General features: G+C 38.0%; 1 protein-coding gene and 1 pseudogene across 10 annotated transcripts in view; both read right to left on the bottom strand.

The window, feature by feature from the left end:
• LPGAT1 (lysophosphatidylglycerol acyltransferase 1) overlaps positions 1–16,203 on the bottom strand; it is an 87,307-nt gene that overhangs the window by 46,918 nt on the left and 24,186 nt on the right. For all 10 annotated transcript variants that reach the window (NM_014873.3, NM_001375841.1, NM_001375844.1 and 7 more), the window contains one exon: positions 2,698–2,816. In NM_014873.3, the coding sequence (NP_055688.1) occupies positions 2,698–2,816 (119 nt within the window). The remainder of the gene's footprint in view (positions 1–2,697; positions 2,817–16,203) is intronic.
• RN7SL344P (RNA, 7SL, cytoplasmic 344, pseudogene) lies at positions 1,737–2,032 on the bottom strand (annotated as a pseudogene).

The following is a 16,203-nucleotide window of genomic DNA, read 5'->3' on the forward strand; positions in this document are numbered from 1 at the left end:
ATGTTATAATTATATTACCATCAAAGCAATATTTTTCAACTGGCCCACAATATAGCCTTCCTTATTTGAAGGTATCCATAAAGTATAAAATAAATCAAGTAAACATTCCTACTAGTGAATACAAATTATATTGCTCTGTAATTATTAGGCAGCAGGGAAAGATTATAATGCTTCCACCCTTATATTCTGTTACTCCTTTATGAAAGAAAATAAAATATTCTTCTAGATTTCAAAGTATTCAATATTATCAGAGCATTATTTAGTATTAACTAATCTCAAAATAAAAAAAAATTACTTGGGATAGAAAAATGAACCTAGCCTAACTAACTTAAATATTTTTATAAAGGCAAACAAGCCAACCAAACTTTCTTTTGTCCACATGACTGGGGAATTTTAAATTACCTAATATTCTAGTTAATACAGTTATCATCTATGCCAAACTGGTGTTAGAATACAGTTAGACATATTTATATTGACCATTTTAATCACGAGTTTCAAAAAACACTTAAGGACATTGTAGGCCCTCAGGATAATCACTATAAATGTAATGATCCTATCTGTAAGAGTTACAATGTTAACTAATTGGAGATTCTCTTTTATAGAAAGCCAAATCAACTAGTTTTGCAAAATTTTAACGTCATGAACTTAGAGGACAGGCAATAAATATTATTATAAATGCAAATATATCTACATGGTGATACTCTTAACAATTCAAGATCCTGAATCTAAGAAAGGATTTAATTTTTCCACATTCCAGTGAGATTATCCCTCTGCTTTTCAGATAGACAAGAAAAACAGATTCTGCAATAATAAAACATATTTTTATTTAATCTCCTCTCATTTTCTGACCCTACCCTAACCTAGTGAATCAAAATCTCTGGAACCTAAACACACCAGGGCTTATTCTCACTTTGATGTTTTTGCCAAGATTGTTTCATTAAGAAAGAAGTCCTTGCTTTACCAGTCTACCTAAATTCTACTCATCCTTCAAGGCCAAGTTTATGTCCTCTCCCCTTCATAAAGTTTTCTATGTCCATGAGGTACACAGTGCACTTACCCTCCACTGAAGCCATCTCACTTGTCAATTAAGTATTGTTTATGGCTCATGCCTGTAATCCCAGTACTATGGGAGGCCAAGAGTGGGTGGATCACCTGAGGCCAGGAGTTTGAGACCAGCAGCCTGGCCAACATGGCGAAACCCCGTCTCTACTAAAAATACAAAAATTAGCCAGGCATGGTACCCGTGCCCATAGTCCCAGCTGCTTGGGAGGCTGAGGCACAAGAATTGCTTGAACCCAGGAGGCAGAGGTTGCAGCAAGCCAAGATTGTGCCACTGCACTCCAGCCTGGGCAACAGTGCAAGACTCCATCTCAAAAAAAAAAAAAAAAAAACAAACAAACAAAAAAAAAAAACAAAAAAAAACATTGTTTGTGATACCCTTCTTCTACCTGCCACTAGGCTGTCAGCACCTTGATAAGATGAATTGTATCTTACAGGATGGTGTTTACACTTCCTATAGTCACTGATCATAACTACTAAGCCCTTAATGAACTTCCATTAGGTCACACATTAACTCCATTAATTTATACACCTTATTTAGTTTTCTATGAACATAACCTCTTTAACTTCTAAGGTGATAATTCTCCTAAGGCTAAAGACTGAATTTATTTTTTAAATCCACTCAGTTTATAAATATTTATTCTATCATAAGCAATATTCCCCCAATCTTTTGTTTTAGAGATGGGGTCTTGCTGTGCTGCCCAGGCTGGAGTGCAGTGGCTCTTCACAGGCATGATCCCACTACTGATCAGCACAGGAGTTTTGGCCTGCTCCATTTCCACCCTGGGCTGGTTCACCCTTCTTGTGTGACCTAGTTGTTCACTGCTCCCAGGAGGTCACCATATTTATGCTCAACTTAGTGCAGACTGCCTATCAGCATAGAGAACTACAGCCCAAACTCCTGGGCTCAAGCGATCCTCCTGCCTCAGCCTCCCGAGTAGCTGGAACTACAAGTGGCACCACTGTGCCAGGCTAAAGCTGCTTTTTGTGTTTGTATTTTTCAAACTAGCAATCCACTGCTTCACCTCCAGACAGCCCTCAATTTGAACTATATTAACCTGCTTTCCTCCCAGTTACTATTTTTTAAAACAGTCTTATTGAAATATAATTCACATTGTCCCAGTTTTTTTTTTTTTTTAAGTCTCTACATTCCCACTTCTGGGTGACTTAGAATGATATATTTTTTCTTTTAATATTTTCTAAATTTTTATTTAAAGTATACATATTAAAGTCTATGTCTATATTTCAAAGCACAGTAAGATATTTGAATTGATTCCCTTTTTTTTTTTTTTTTTTTGAGATGGAGTCTTGCTCTGTTGCTAGGCTGGAGTACAGTGGCGTGATCTCGGCTCACTGCAATTTCTGCCTCCCGGGTTCAAGCAATTCTCTTGCCTCAGCCTCCCGAGTAACTGGGACTACAGGTGCACACCACCACGCCCAGCTAATTTCTGTATTTTTAGTAGAGATGGGGTTTCACCCTGTTGTCCTGGATGGCCTCGATCTCTTGACCTCATGATCCACCCACCTCAGCCTCCCAAAGTGCTGGGATTACAGACATGAGCCACCATGCCCGGCCAAATGGATTCCTTTTTAACCTTCCTTTCTGGATGTCTATCTACTGCCTTCAGGGTAGCTTACCAGTCCTTTGTCCTGGAGGCACATCATCAGTGTGCACACATCTCCTGTTGCCTGATGATTCACCAACATCACTGCTTCATCTTTTGAAACTGCTTTAATATCTTCTCCCCATTCCATCACTGTAAGAACAAAAAAGTTTCAAAGCTGTCATTTTAAAGATTTTTATATTATCACAAACCTTATATTAGAAAAAATGATGTATATTAATGATGATATGTCACCTAGCTAAAACATCCGAAAGTTTAGAACTAAGTTTATTTCCTGTGCAAATCAGAATGTTAATATAACTTTTATAGAGCCCCCAAATATACATTAAAATATAAAATTATCATTATTTATTTATTTATTTATTTATTTATTTATTTATTTATTTATATTTGAGACAGAGTCTAGCTCTGTCACCCAGGCTGGAGTGTAGTGGTGCGATCTTGGCTCACTGCAACCTCTACCTCCCGGGTTCAAGCAATTCTCCTGCCTCAGCCTCCCAAGTAGCTGGGATTACAGGTGCACACCACCACGCCCAGCTGATTTTTGTATTTTTAGTAGAGATGGGGTTTCACCATATTGGCCAGGCTGGTCTCAAACTCTTGACCTCAAGTGATCCACCTGCCTTGGCCTCCCAAAGTGCTGAGATTACAGGCGTGAGCCACTGTGCCCAGCTATGGTCATACCTTTGATCTAGAAGTTCTATTTCCTAGAATTTATCCTACAGAAACTTGTTCAAATAAGCAAAGATATATGTATAAAGAATGTTTATCACAACTTAAATGTTCACCAACAAGGGAATGGACAAGAAAATTATGATGTAATAGGAGAGTATAAACCCGTTAAAATAATGGAGGATATCTCTTATTCACTAACCCAAAAAAGATGTATTATCAACTAACAAAGCAAATCACAAAACAGTAAATATAGCATGATCCCATCTTTTTAAAGCAGGAATACCATCCATGTGTTGTTCAATGCACTGAAAAACGTCTAGAAAAATAAATTTCAAACTGTTAATACCGATCATCAATGAGAGGTGGTTCCCAACCCTTCAGATTCTATTTTATAAGAAAACATTCAGACATAATAATGCATACTTTCACCTTAAAATAATAAAACTAATACAAATGCCAAATTATTTGAAGTTATCAGATGAAAAGTCACTGCGCCAAAATCTATACGTACATTCTAAGGGAAACAGTGGTATTTCTATGTAGTTATGCCTCATTTCATTTTATATTTATTTTTAACTTTTTTGAGACAGGATCTTGCTCTGTTACCTTGGCTGGAGTGCAATGGTGCAATCACAATGGCTCACTGCAGCTTCAAGCTCCCTGGGCTCAGTGACCCTCCTACCTCAGCCTCCCAAGTAGCTGGGACTATACAGGTGCATGTCACCAAGTCCAGCTAACTTTTGTATTTTTTTTGTAGACACAGGGTTTTGCCATGTTGCCCAGGCTGATCTCAAACTCCTGGGCTCAAGCAATCCACCGGCTTCAGCCTCTCAAAGTATTGACATTACAGACATGAGCCACTGCACTCGGCCACCTCATTTTACAGTAAATTTATGTCAAGCCTCAGTTTTCAAACATCAGAATTCTGCAAAGAATCTTCTAGCATTTTTTGATATGAATTATCAAAGGCCAATTCTACATTAGTATTCTTTACCCTAACCTTATCTCACTCACTGCTGCAAGGAAAGAATTCAAGCCACCTGTGTGTAAAAGCTCAGGATGAAATAGGGATAGGGAGACCTGTTTAGAAGCCAATTTTGCACTATATTTCAAAATTAATAAATGCACAAACCTTTTTACCTAGGAATTCTACTTCTAGAAATGCATCCTACAGATATACTCATTTATGTGCAAAATGACATGTACACAAGGCTACTCACTGCAGCTTTGATTGTAAAAGCAAAGATGAAAACAACTAGAAAGAGAAGCTAACTCAAATTCATAGAAATGGTGGTTGCCAGGGGCTGGGGGAGGGGGAAATTGTTGTTTAATGAGTACAGTGTTTCAGTTTTACAAGATGGAAAAGTTTTAGATATCGGTTCCACAACAATGTGAATATACTTAACAAGACTGAACTGTACACTTGAAAAATTAAGATGGTGAATTTTATGTTAGCGTATTTTACCACAATTAAAAACATTTTTAAGGGAGACTACCTAAATAAATTATATCTATGCAATGGAATATTATGCAAACATAGCACTTATGTACTAAGATGAAATGATATACTTTAAGTAATAAAAGCAAAGTGTAGAATAGGATGATGGATGCCACTAGTTGTGTTTTTTGTTTGTTTGGTTTTTTTGTTTTTGAGACGGAGTTTCGCTCTTGTTGCCCAGGCTGGAGTGCAATGGCGTGATCTCAGCTCACCGCAACCTCCGACTCCCAGGTTCAAGCGATTCTCCTGCCTCAGCCTCCCAAGTAGCTGGGATTACAGGCATGCGCCACCACGCCCGGCTAATCTTGTATTTTTAGTAGAGACGGGGTTTCTCCATGTTGGTCAGGCTGGTCTTCAACTCCCAACCTCAGGTGATCCGCCCACCTCGGCCTCCCAACGTGCTGAGACTACAGGCCTGAGCCACCGCGCCCAGCCTAGTTATGTTTTTAAAAAGGACAGAGAATATACTAACCAAATGAAAACTCCCCATATGCCCCTGTTGACAACCCTCCAATGGAGACACACGGACATACAAACACACAAACACACACACACATGCACAACATTCTTTCATTAATACAATCTTCATTCAATAAATCAGCATCAGGCATGGTTAGGTGTTGTGGATATAAAATAAGTAAGAACATTTCAAGTATTATTCTAAAGTGAACAGCAGTTAAAACTCAAGAAAAGTCTAGCTTGGTTCTATAAATAGTGGGCTATTAAGAGGTAATGTGGACAGTTTTCTGGCTCTCCATCTGTATTAATAGATGTCTCATCACCAAATAGTCCTTTAACGCAATCTGTGCTACATGAGTGGAAAATACTAGATACCTAGGCCCATGCAGTGGGAAGGCATATATGTCAATATAACTGCAAATAAGAATAAGTTTTTACATAAAATATATCTTACCTGTTTGCTTTATATAAATCAGATAAATCTAGTAAGTGTGACTGGTTTAAATATGAAAACATAAATTGAATTTGGAACCCTCTGTACTGGGTTGAACAGTATACTCCAAAAATTCATGTCCCCCCAAAATCTGTGAATCAAGATGAGGTCATACTGGATTAGGGTGGGCCCTAAACCTAAATCCAATAAGACTGGAGTCCTTATAAGAATAGGAAAATGTGGGTCAGAGAGACACACAGGGAGACCACCACGTGATGACAGAGGCAGAGATTGAAGTGACGCACCTACAAGCTGAGGGACACCAAGGATGGTGGACAACCACCAGAAGAAGCTGGAAGAGGCAAGGGAAGAGCCTCCCTGAGAGTCTTTCGAGAGAGCATGGCCCTGCTGACGCCTTGATTTCAAGACTTCTAACTTCCAGAACTGTGAAAGAATAAATATCTGCTGTAAAACCCACTTTGTGGTAATTTGTTATGGCAGCCCTAAGGAATTAACATAACCCCTCCCTCAATTTTCCCCATCCTCTCTCTTCCCTTTCCATTCTATTTTCCCCAAAATTATAGTCTTTCTTTTCTTATCAAGTATAGGAAAAGAATTGCATTATCTTTTAATATTCAGCACATTATATATAATCTAACATTATGTATTATAAATGGTTTTTAATTTTCACTTCTAAATACTTTCAGAAATTATACTTTAAAGTATAATTATTAAGAGTTAATCCACTACATGTTTTATCTCTCAATCAGAACTTAGCCAAAATTTATTTTCAGACCAAATGTCAATTTACCAAGACTCACATAGCATGCTGAATCAAAAAAGTGAAGGTGGTCAGGTGTGGTGGCTCACGTCTATAATCCCAGCACTTTGGGAGGCCAAGGTGGGTGGATCACTTGAGGTCAGGAGTTCGGGACCAGCCTGGCCAACATGGTGAAACCCTGTCTCTTCTAAAAATTACAAAAATTAGCAGGTGTGGTGGCATATGTCCGCAATCCCAGCTACTTTGGAGCCTGAGGCACAAGAATCGCTTGAACCTGGGAGGCAAAGGTTACAGTGAGCCAAGATTGAGCCACTGCACTCCAGCCTAGGTGACAAAGCGAGACTCTGTCTCAAAAAAACAAAACAAAACAAAATGAAGGTACCTAGATCAACTTTTCTTTCCTTTTCTTTTTTTTTTTTTTTTTTTGAGTCAGGAACTCCTGGGCTGAAGCAATCCTTCTGTCTCAGCCTCCCAAGGTGCTGGGATGACATGCATGAGCCACCACACCCAGTTTGGATCAACTTTTTGCCAAGAAATTATCCTGAGGTAGCAATAAGGTCGTGTTGAATTTTATAATAATTCTAATTTTATTCAACAACAAATTTAATTTCCAATATATATGGTATTCTTCTTTTAGAGCATAATTTAAGGACCACTATTAGAAAGTTAAATGACCAACAAAATCAGTATTAAAATGTTTGTAGTGAAAGAGCAATTTATTACACAGATGAAGTAGCTATGCTCCTCAGATTATGCCTTGCTATTCCAGGACCAGTAAATATAGTAATAAAGCTAATATCTTAACCAAGGGATAGAAAAGAAATTATGGATGTCTACAGTTCTTACACTGCACTTGATTAGAAGAACAAAAATATTCTAACACGCTGCTCTATGAAATGAATTCTCAAAAAAGAATTGGGTCAGGTCCACTATTTCCAAAGGGAAAAAGGACAACTGAATAAAAACTGGAGGAAAAATTTTCTAATTGTAATAAATTTTAAAATTCTTATTGAAAACCAAAGCTAAAGGTTATCATCTACTACATACACACAACACACACACATACACACACACATTCTAACATGTATATCAATATACTTTTCCCAAAAGTTATAGATTAGAATTAATCTGGACAGTTCACATCTCAAAAAGAAAATAGAAACAACCCATCAAAAACTCCTTAACAACAGTGACACTAAAGCCATTATACTGGCCTACAAAACAGAATTAACAGAGAGAAGAAAGGTTGCTTATTATGCCCGCAAGCTGATGCAACAAACTATTTTATCCTTCTGTGTCTTCATTTTCTCACTTATGAAACAATAATATCATTAATGCTACGTAAACATGTTGCAAAAATGAGGAAGATCTAATTGACAGTACCATAGAGATCCTGAGTAATGGGATTAAAGTCACTTTTGGAATCACTAGTAACTAAAAGAGCCCTATGCCTACTGTGTCATATGAAAATCAGTCTAATAGTAAAGATTAAAGAGCCAGCTGGGCACAGTGCCTCATACCTGTAATCCCAGCACTCTGGGAGGCCGAGGCAGGAGGACCCCTTGAGGCCAGGAGTTCAGGACCAGTCTGGGCAACAAAGTGAGATCTGTCTCTATAAAAAAATTTAAAATTAGCTGGGTGTGGTGGCATGTACCTGTGGTCCTAGCTACTCTAGGGGCTAAGGCAGAGGATCTCTTGGGCTCAGAAGCTCAAGGCTGTAGTGAGCTGTGATCATGCCACTACACTCCAGTCTGGTTGACATATATAGACACTCTCTCTAAAAACAAACAAACAACAACAACAAAAAACAAATAAAAAATTAGAGAGCCAAAATAATCCATAAGTGAATTTCACATAGCTGGAGAACTGTGGCTTTCAGCAGTCCAGGTTTGAGGCAGACAGGATTGGATTCATCCAAGGGAGGGTGTTAGTTCATTAAAAGTGGCCATGAGAGAGTGGCTTAAAGTACTGATTAATGGAGTGGAGACTGGTGAGGAAAAGCAGCCTTGCAAACAAACAGCTGACTACCTAGAAAAGAGAGGGAGGGAGGGCAATCATACATAGAGATGCTGATGCCACCCCCATCTCCATAACATTCTAGTCAAGCTTCCCAAGGGAAGGCCCAGACTTTTGAAAAACCTCCTAATACATACTTCTAAATAAGAACCACTGGAATTGAAGTGCTGATAAGTTTAATTTTATTTTTTTTTAAGCAAGTACATTGTACACACTAGGAAATCATGGTCAGTGTCCCTTTGACTCTTAAATTTTAAGAGGTTAAAATTTGAGAAAGCAAGGCTCAAGAGGTAGCTTTTGGAGGGGTTACATAACTAAAATAATAATAGTAGCAGATATTATTAAATAGATATATAAATAATAATCTTAATAGCTAACATTTATGGAATGTTTATTATGTGCCATGCACTAGTACTTAGTAATAGAAAATAATTTACATTATTTTCTGATTTAATCTTCACAAAATTCCAAATATGCAGATAGTATCATCCCCAATATGCAAATGAGGAAAATGAGGCACAAAAGGTTAAGCACTGTTTTCAAACTTACATAGTTAGGAAGTAGGGGAACTGGGATTCAAAACCACAATATCATATTGTCACTGCTGGCATGCTTCATGTCAAAGAACCTTAAGGACAGGAACTTGGATAAATGCCCTTGCAGCCCCTAAAGTTGCCCATGATTATGCCAGGGAATAGGGTGGACAAGCCAAGTCCCAAAGTCCTCAACAAATAAGGATGGTGGATGGCAACAATAAGGAGGGGTAGAGAGGTATATAGCCAAATAATCAAGCATTTTTCTCAATGACAGTTGAATAATAACCAGGTCTAAAGGGGCAGGTATCTAAGAAAAAAAATCAACATTGTCTTTGGACCCAGATGGGATTGTCTTAAATATAATATGCTCAATACAGAACTGGCTCTTTTCCCTAGTCTTCCCCATCTTAGCAAAGAACACTGCTGTTCACCCAGTCATCTGAAGATGAAACCTAAGACTATCTTTCATTTCTCCCTTTCCTTAATCTTCCACATTCAATCCATCTCTAAGTCCAGTGGACTCTACCTTCAAAATACATTCAGATCCTCTATTTTTCTTCTTCTTACTACTACCATTCTTTATTATTATTATTATTGAGACAGAGTCTCGCTCTATTGCCCAGGCTGGAGTGCAGTGGCACAATCTCGGCTCACTGCAACCTCCACCTCCCAGGTTTAAGTGATTCTCCTGCCTCAGCCTCCCGAGTAACTGGAACTACAGGTATGTGTCCAGCTAATTTTTTTTTTTTTTTTGTATTTTAGTAGAGATAGGGTTTCATCATGTTGGACAGGTTGGTCTTGGTGATCTGCCCACCTTGGCCTCCAAAGTGCTGGGATTACACGTGTGAGCCACCATGCCTGGCCCTCTCTACTACTACCATTCTAATCCAAGCCACCAATAACTCTTGCCTAGACTTCTGCAATGACTTCCTAACTAGTCTTCTTGCTTCCACTCCGCCTATCTATGTAAAACAAATCTTTAGAATTCCAATTTCAAATATCATTAAAATCAGAAACACCACTGTCAAGCATGAATTAGGGAAGAGCAGGAAAATCAAAGATAATAACTGGGAATTAACTTTCACTGTCATTAAGATTTAGTTTAAGTTAAACTTGTACTGTTTTCAAAAGGGGAGCTAGTGGCATTTTGGGTGAAGCAATTCTTCCCCCTACAGCTCATCAGTACTGCAAAACTTTTAGCTTGCCTGGCCAATAGTCTGTTACAATCCAAAAGGTAATTCCAAACATCCTGACTCCACCCCAATCTCCTTTGAGAAGCACTAAGTTAAAATTATGTCAATATAAGCCTGTGGTAAAATCAGGGTGAGGTTAAATAACAAGTGAGAATCATCCTAACAACATTAGGACTAAATAAACACACGTTTATAGCAAACAAAGATCCATCTCTATGATTCCCTTCCCTTCACCCACTAAGCTCCCAGGATATGGCAGCCAAGAGTTTGGAACAATCTCCTCTAGGGAATTTGATCACCTCAAGAGGAAAGACCTAAAAATACTGACATTTGGGGTTCCCCAGTGAAATATTCCAATAAGATTACCCTACAGTGAGGCTCAATGTTGATAAGCCACAGCCACTTGCTTGGCTACAAATCAACATTTTAATCTCTCACTCTTAAAACAAGAACAGACAGTTGAAGGGGATGAGAAAAGCAGATGTGTGAAGGGCTCTATGTTATCCCCACTTCCAGCTTGAAACAAGGCATAAACTCCCCATGCAAAAGTTACCCTCCTGATACTAGGAAGAAAAGAATATTCTTATCACCAGGAATGGGGAGTCAATGCAGGGATGAGTCTGCACAACAAACCGTACTAAAATAATCCTTTCCTTCCATTAGTTTCCCCCATGTAGTTCCTAGTCACTTTCCTACAATTTGCCACCCTTAGAAACTCAAAACCCTTTCCTTCATCCAGTCATTTCTCTTCAATTTATTACCCTTTGTTAAAATGGTATATAAAGCCAGGCTTGGTGACTCACACCTGTAATCCCAGCACTAAGGCCGAGGTGGGAGGACTGCTTGAGCCTAGGAGTTCAAGATCAGCATGGGCGACAAAGCAAGACCTCATCTCTACAAAAAAAATTTTTAAAAGAACTTAACTGGGCATGCTTATAGTCCTAGCTATTTGGGAGGCTGAGAAGGGAGGATCACTTGAGCCCAGGAGTTCAAAGCTACAGTGAGCTATAATCACGCCACTGCACTCCAGCCTGGGAGACAGAGCGAGACCCTGTCTCTTAAAAAAGGGAAGGGGAGGGGAGGGGAAGAGAGGGGAGGGGAGGAGAAAGAAAAGAAGGGAAAAGAAAAGAAGAGAAGAGAAAAGAAAAGAAATGGCACGGTGGCTCACTCCTGTAATCCCAGCACTTTGGGAGGCTGAGGAGGGTGGATCACTTGAGGTCAGGAGTTCGAGATCAGTCTGACCAACATGGTGAAACCCCATCTCTACTAAAAAAAAATTTTTTTTTAAATTAGCCAGGCATGGTGGCACACACCTGTAGTCCCAGCTACTTGGGAAGCTAAGGCAGAAGGATTGCTTGAAACTGGGAGGTTAAGGTTGCAGTGAGCCAAGATTGCACCACTGTATTACAGCCTGGGTAACAGAGTGAGACTCTGTCTCAAAAAAAAAAAAAAAGAGAAAAAAAGAAAGAAAGAAAAAGGTATATAAAATCCTGAATCTAAATGCTTCTTTGGAGTTTTCACTTCTTTTCTATGAAGCCCCCTGTGCCACATAAAAAATGCTAACATCAAATAAAATGTGTATGCTTTTCTCTTATCAATCTGTCTTTTGTTAGCCTAATTAGGCTAACAAAACAGGCGATAGCTACGAAACCTGAGGGCAGAGGAAAAGTTTTTCCTCCCCTACATAGTCATGTATTGCCGGAGACCTGAAAAAGGCTGTTAATGTGAAAGAGAGCAAAGCAAACAGAAAAATAAAGAATCTGAGGAAACAGAGGCATTACACAAAAAAGAAAACTTCAAGAGACCAGCATTAATATCTATATTGAGGTAAGAGATGAGATGATGATAATAACCATGAGACAAGAATAAGAAAAAAAAGGACCTGCTGGAAATTAACATAATTGTAAAAATAAAAGTCTCAATAGAAAAACCGAGAGATAAAGTTGAGATAATCTTCCAAACACGAGATTTAAAAACAAGATGAAAAACAAGAGAAGACTTGAACATTAGAAGACAATTCCACAAAATCCAGCCTTCAAATAACAAGAGTTCCAGAAAAAAGAACAGAGAAAAAGAAATCAAAGATGTAGTTAAAGAGCATTTGAGGGTGTGGATTTCCACTCTGACATGGGACATCAAATGGCTAGCACAGTGGATAAAAACAGACCTATACCAAGACATACATCCCCATGAAATTTCAAAACAATAAATCAAAGAGAAGAGCCAACAAACTGTCAGAAAGGAAAAAGAGGACACATATAAGGATAAGGAATCAGATTAACTTGGAATTTCTCAATAGCTTCTGAAAGCAAAAAATATTGTAGAGATTATTATTAAAATAATAATGACTTCAAAATTGTGAAGAAAGGCTGGTCTAAAGGTAGTGAGTTATTTCAACTGATTGTTCACAAAGACTGAACTTGTTTTCCTCACTACTGCACTTGACCTGGGGAAAAAAAAAGAGAAAAAAAAATTCCAAAGAAAAACTACTTTCAACCCAGAATTCTCCACCCAGCCAAATAACCAATCAGGTGCAAGCACAGAAAAATATTTTCAAGTGTGTGACATTTTGAAAAATTAACCTCTTGCTCTCATGAAGATATTGGATGGTATGTTTCACTAAAATGAGAAATAAACCAAGAAAGAGAAAGACATGTGAAAAAAGAAATTGGGAACACAGCCAAGGAGACAGGCAAAAAGGATTTTCAGGATGATAGGGAAGGAAGATAATCAGGATGTCGGCTGTATACCAGGCTTAGTGGATAACCAGTCCAAATTGGAGCAAGTTAGGCACTTCCCAGACAGACTTTCCAAAAAAGATGAAATTGGCAGAGTAGCATCTGAATGACTTAAGAGGAGATCTAAAAATGAAAAGGAGTTGGGGGTGAATTAGTGATCATTTCATACCAAAGCAAGCAAAAGAAGAAACAAAAATTATTAAATCTAGGAACAACTCTGTGCAGGAAAGTAAAAGTGAACAGTTTTATACATAGCTCAGCTCTGAGTAGATTTACATCTTCATAATAAAGAAAAACTCCAAATACTGACACTACCAAAATTACAATAAAATTCAAATACAAACTAGAAAATGTATTTATTTTTCAGTTTTTCTTTCTTTTTTTTTTTTTTTTGACACAGTCTTGCTCTGTCACTCAGACTGGAGTGCAGTGGCACAACCTTGGCTCACTGCAGTCTCCACCTCCCATGTTCAAACAATTCTCCTACCACAGTCTCAAGAAGCTGGGACCGCCAGCATGCATGACGAAATACAGCTAATTTCTGTATTTTTAGTGGAGATGGGGTTTTGCCATGTTGGCCATGTTGGTCTCAAACTCCTGACCTCAGGTGATCTGCCTGCCTCGGCCTCCCAAAGTGCTGGGATTACAGGCGTGAGCCACCACACCCAGCCCTCAAAATTGGCTTATTTTTATTTTTATTTTTGAGGTTGGGTCTTACTCTGCTACCCAGTTTGGAGTGCAGTGGCACAATCAAAGCTCACTGTAGCCTCAACCTCCCGAGCTCAAATGATCCTCCTGCCTCAGCCTCCACCACCATGCCCTACTAATTTTTTTTTACTTTTTGTAGAGACAGGGTCTCGCTTTGTTGCCCATGCTGGTCTCAGATTCCTGGGCTCAAGCGATCCTCCCACCTTGGGCTCCCACAGTATTGGGAATACAGGTGTGAGCCACTACACCTGACAAAAATTTATTTTTAAAATATTATTTTAAATAGGTTTCTAAAAAGATAAGGCTTTCTGAATATTAAAATAACATACATTCATTGTAGTAAATCAGAATACTAAAAAACACAAGGCAGAAAATTACCCCAAATCTCACTATCCAGGGATAAGAAAACACTATTAAAATTTTATAGTATATCTTCCAGTTATTTTTCTCTGTGTATAAAGACAATTTTTTAAATCAAAAATGAATGATTCTTAAATTCTGTTTTATACAATTTGAAATTCAATATATCATATAAAATTGGCTGTCATTATTCTCCCACAATATGATTTTTAATGGCCACATAATAATGTATTACATGTAAGTGCAGAGATTAGTTAGTTCTCTAATGTTGGGTCCTGGCTATTGATTACAGTAAAGTGCTAGACCAATAAGTATACAAACCAAAGAACTAATGGGTGTGTGTTACAAAAAGTACTATGACTTTCCTAAAATAAAGAGTAAAAATATTCCTACCCACAAACGTTAAGTCACAAAAGCAAATAAATCAAAAGTATAAAAATTTAGGAGGTAATGGGACTGTGGTAGTGGTCATATAACTGCACATTGTAGAAGACATGAAGACTTTTAAAAATGTTCTTCAAGCCAGCCATTGAATAAATTCATAGAGAAACTTAAAATTGGGGGGATGTAAATAAGTTCCAGATTGACAGAATACTAAATACCAAAGAATCAAAAAACAAAATACCAAAGTCAAAAGCAAACACAGAAATCAATGAAATGAAAAAAAAAATGGAGAAAATCAATGAAAGCAAAAGTGACTCTTTGAAAAGGCCAATACAAGTTATCAAATTAATTTTTAACCACAAAAAAACACAAAAACCATAAATCACCAATAACAGGAATGAAAGAGAAGACATCACTACAAACGTTCCTTGATTTATCATGGGGTTCCTGATAAACCCATCGTAAGTTGAAAATACAGCAAGTCAAAAATGCATTTTAACACAAAGCCTATTTTATAATAAAGTGTTGAATATCTCATGTGATTTATTGAATACGGTACTAAAAGTGAAAGACAGAATGGTTGTATGGATACAAGCATTACTGAATGCATGTCACTCTCATCCCATCATAAAGTCAAAAAATTGTAAGTAGAACCATGAAAAGTCAGGGACCATCTGTACTATGAACTACTTTAGAAACTATAAATTTGACAACTTAGGTGAAATGGACCAATTCCTTGAAAACCACAAATTACTATCAAAACTCATCTAAGATGAATAGATAACCAATTTCTATCAAAGAAATTGATTTTATAGTTAAAAACCTTCCAAAAATAATTTGGCCCAGATGGTTTCACTGGCATACTCTACCTGACATTTCAAAAAAGAAATAATACAAACTGTATGCAATCTCTTCCAGAAAACAGAAAAGGAAGGAATGCTTTCAAGTTTATAAGGCCAGTATTGCCCAGATACCAAAACCAGAAAAAGACAAGCAAACAAAAGCTACAGACTAAAACCATCATGAATAGAGGCAAAAATTATCAATAGAATATTAGCAAATGGAATCCAACAGTATATACCATGACCAAGTTAGGTTTACCCCAGGAATGCAAGGCTGGTCCAATATCCAAATATCAGGCCGGGCGCAGTGGCTCATGCCTGTAATCCCAGAACTTTGGGAAGCCAAGGTGGGTGGATCACTTGAGGTCATAAGTTCGAGACCAGCCTGGCCAACATGGTAAAACATCATCTCTACTAAAAATACAAAAATTAGCCATGTGTGGTGGCACACGCCTGTAGTCCCGGGTACTTGGGAGGCTGAGACACAAGAATTGCTTGAACCCAGGAGGCAGAGGTTGCAGTGAGCCGAGATTGAGCCACTGTATTACAGCCTGGGAAACAGGGCGAGGGTCTGTCTCAAAAAAAAAAAAAAAGAAAATCAATCAATATAATTCACCACATTAACTGTCTAAAGAAGAAAACCTTCCACAGCAATAAAAAAAAAAAGAATGAAATCATGTCCTCTGCAGCAACATGGATACAGCTGGAAGCCATTACGCTAAGCAAATTAACACAGAAACAGAAAATCAAATACCGCATGTTCTCACTTATAAGTGGGACCTAAACATTGGATATGCACAGACACAAAGATGGGAATGGTAGACACTGAGGACTCCAAAAAGGGATGGGATGGAGGAAGGGGGAAAGGATGGAAAAGCTACCTATTAGGTACTGTG

Source organism: Homo sapiens, chromosome 1 (assembly GCF_000001405.40).
Source record: "Homo sapiens chromosome 1, GRCh38.p14 Primary Assembly".
Taxonomy (NCBI): Eukaryota; Metazoa; Chordata; class Mammalia; order Primates; family Hominidae; genus Homo; species Homo sapiens.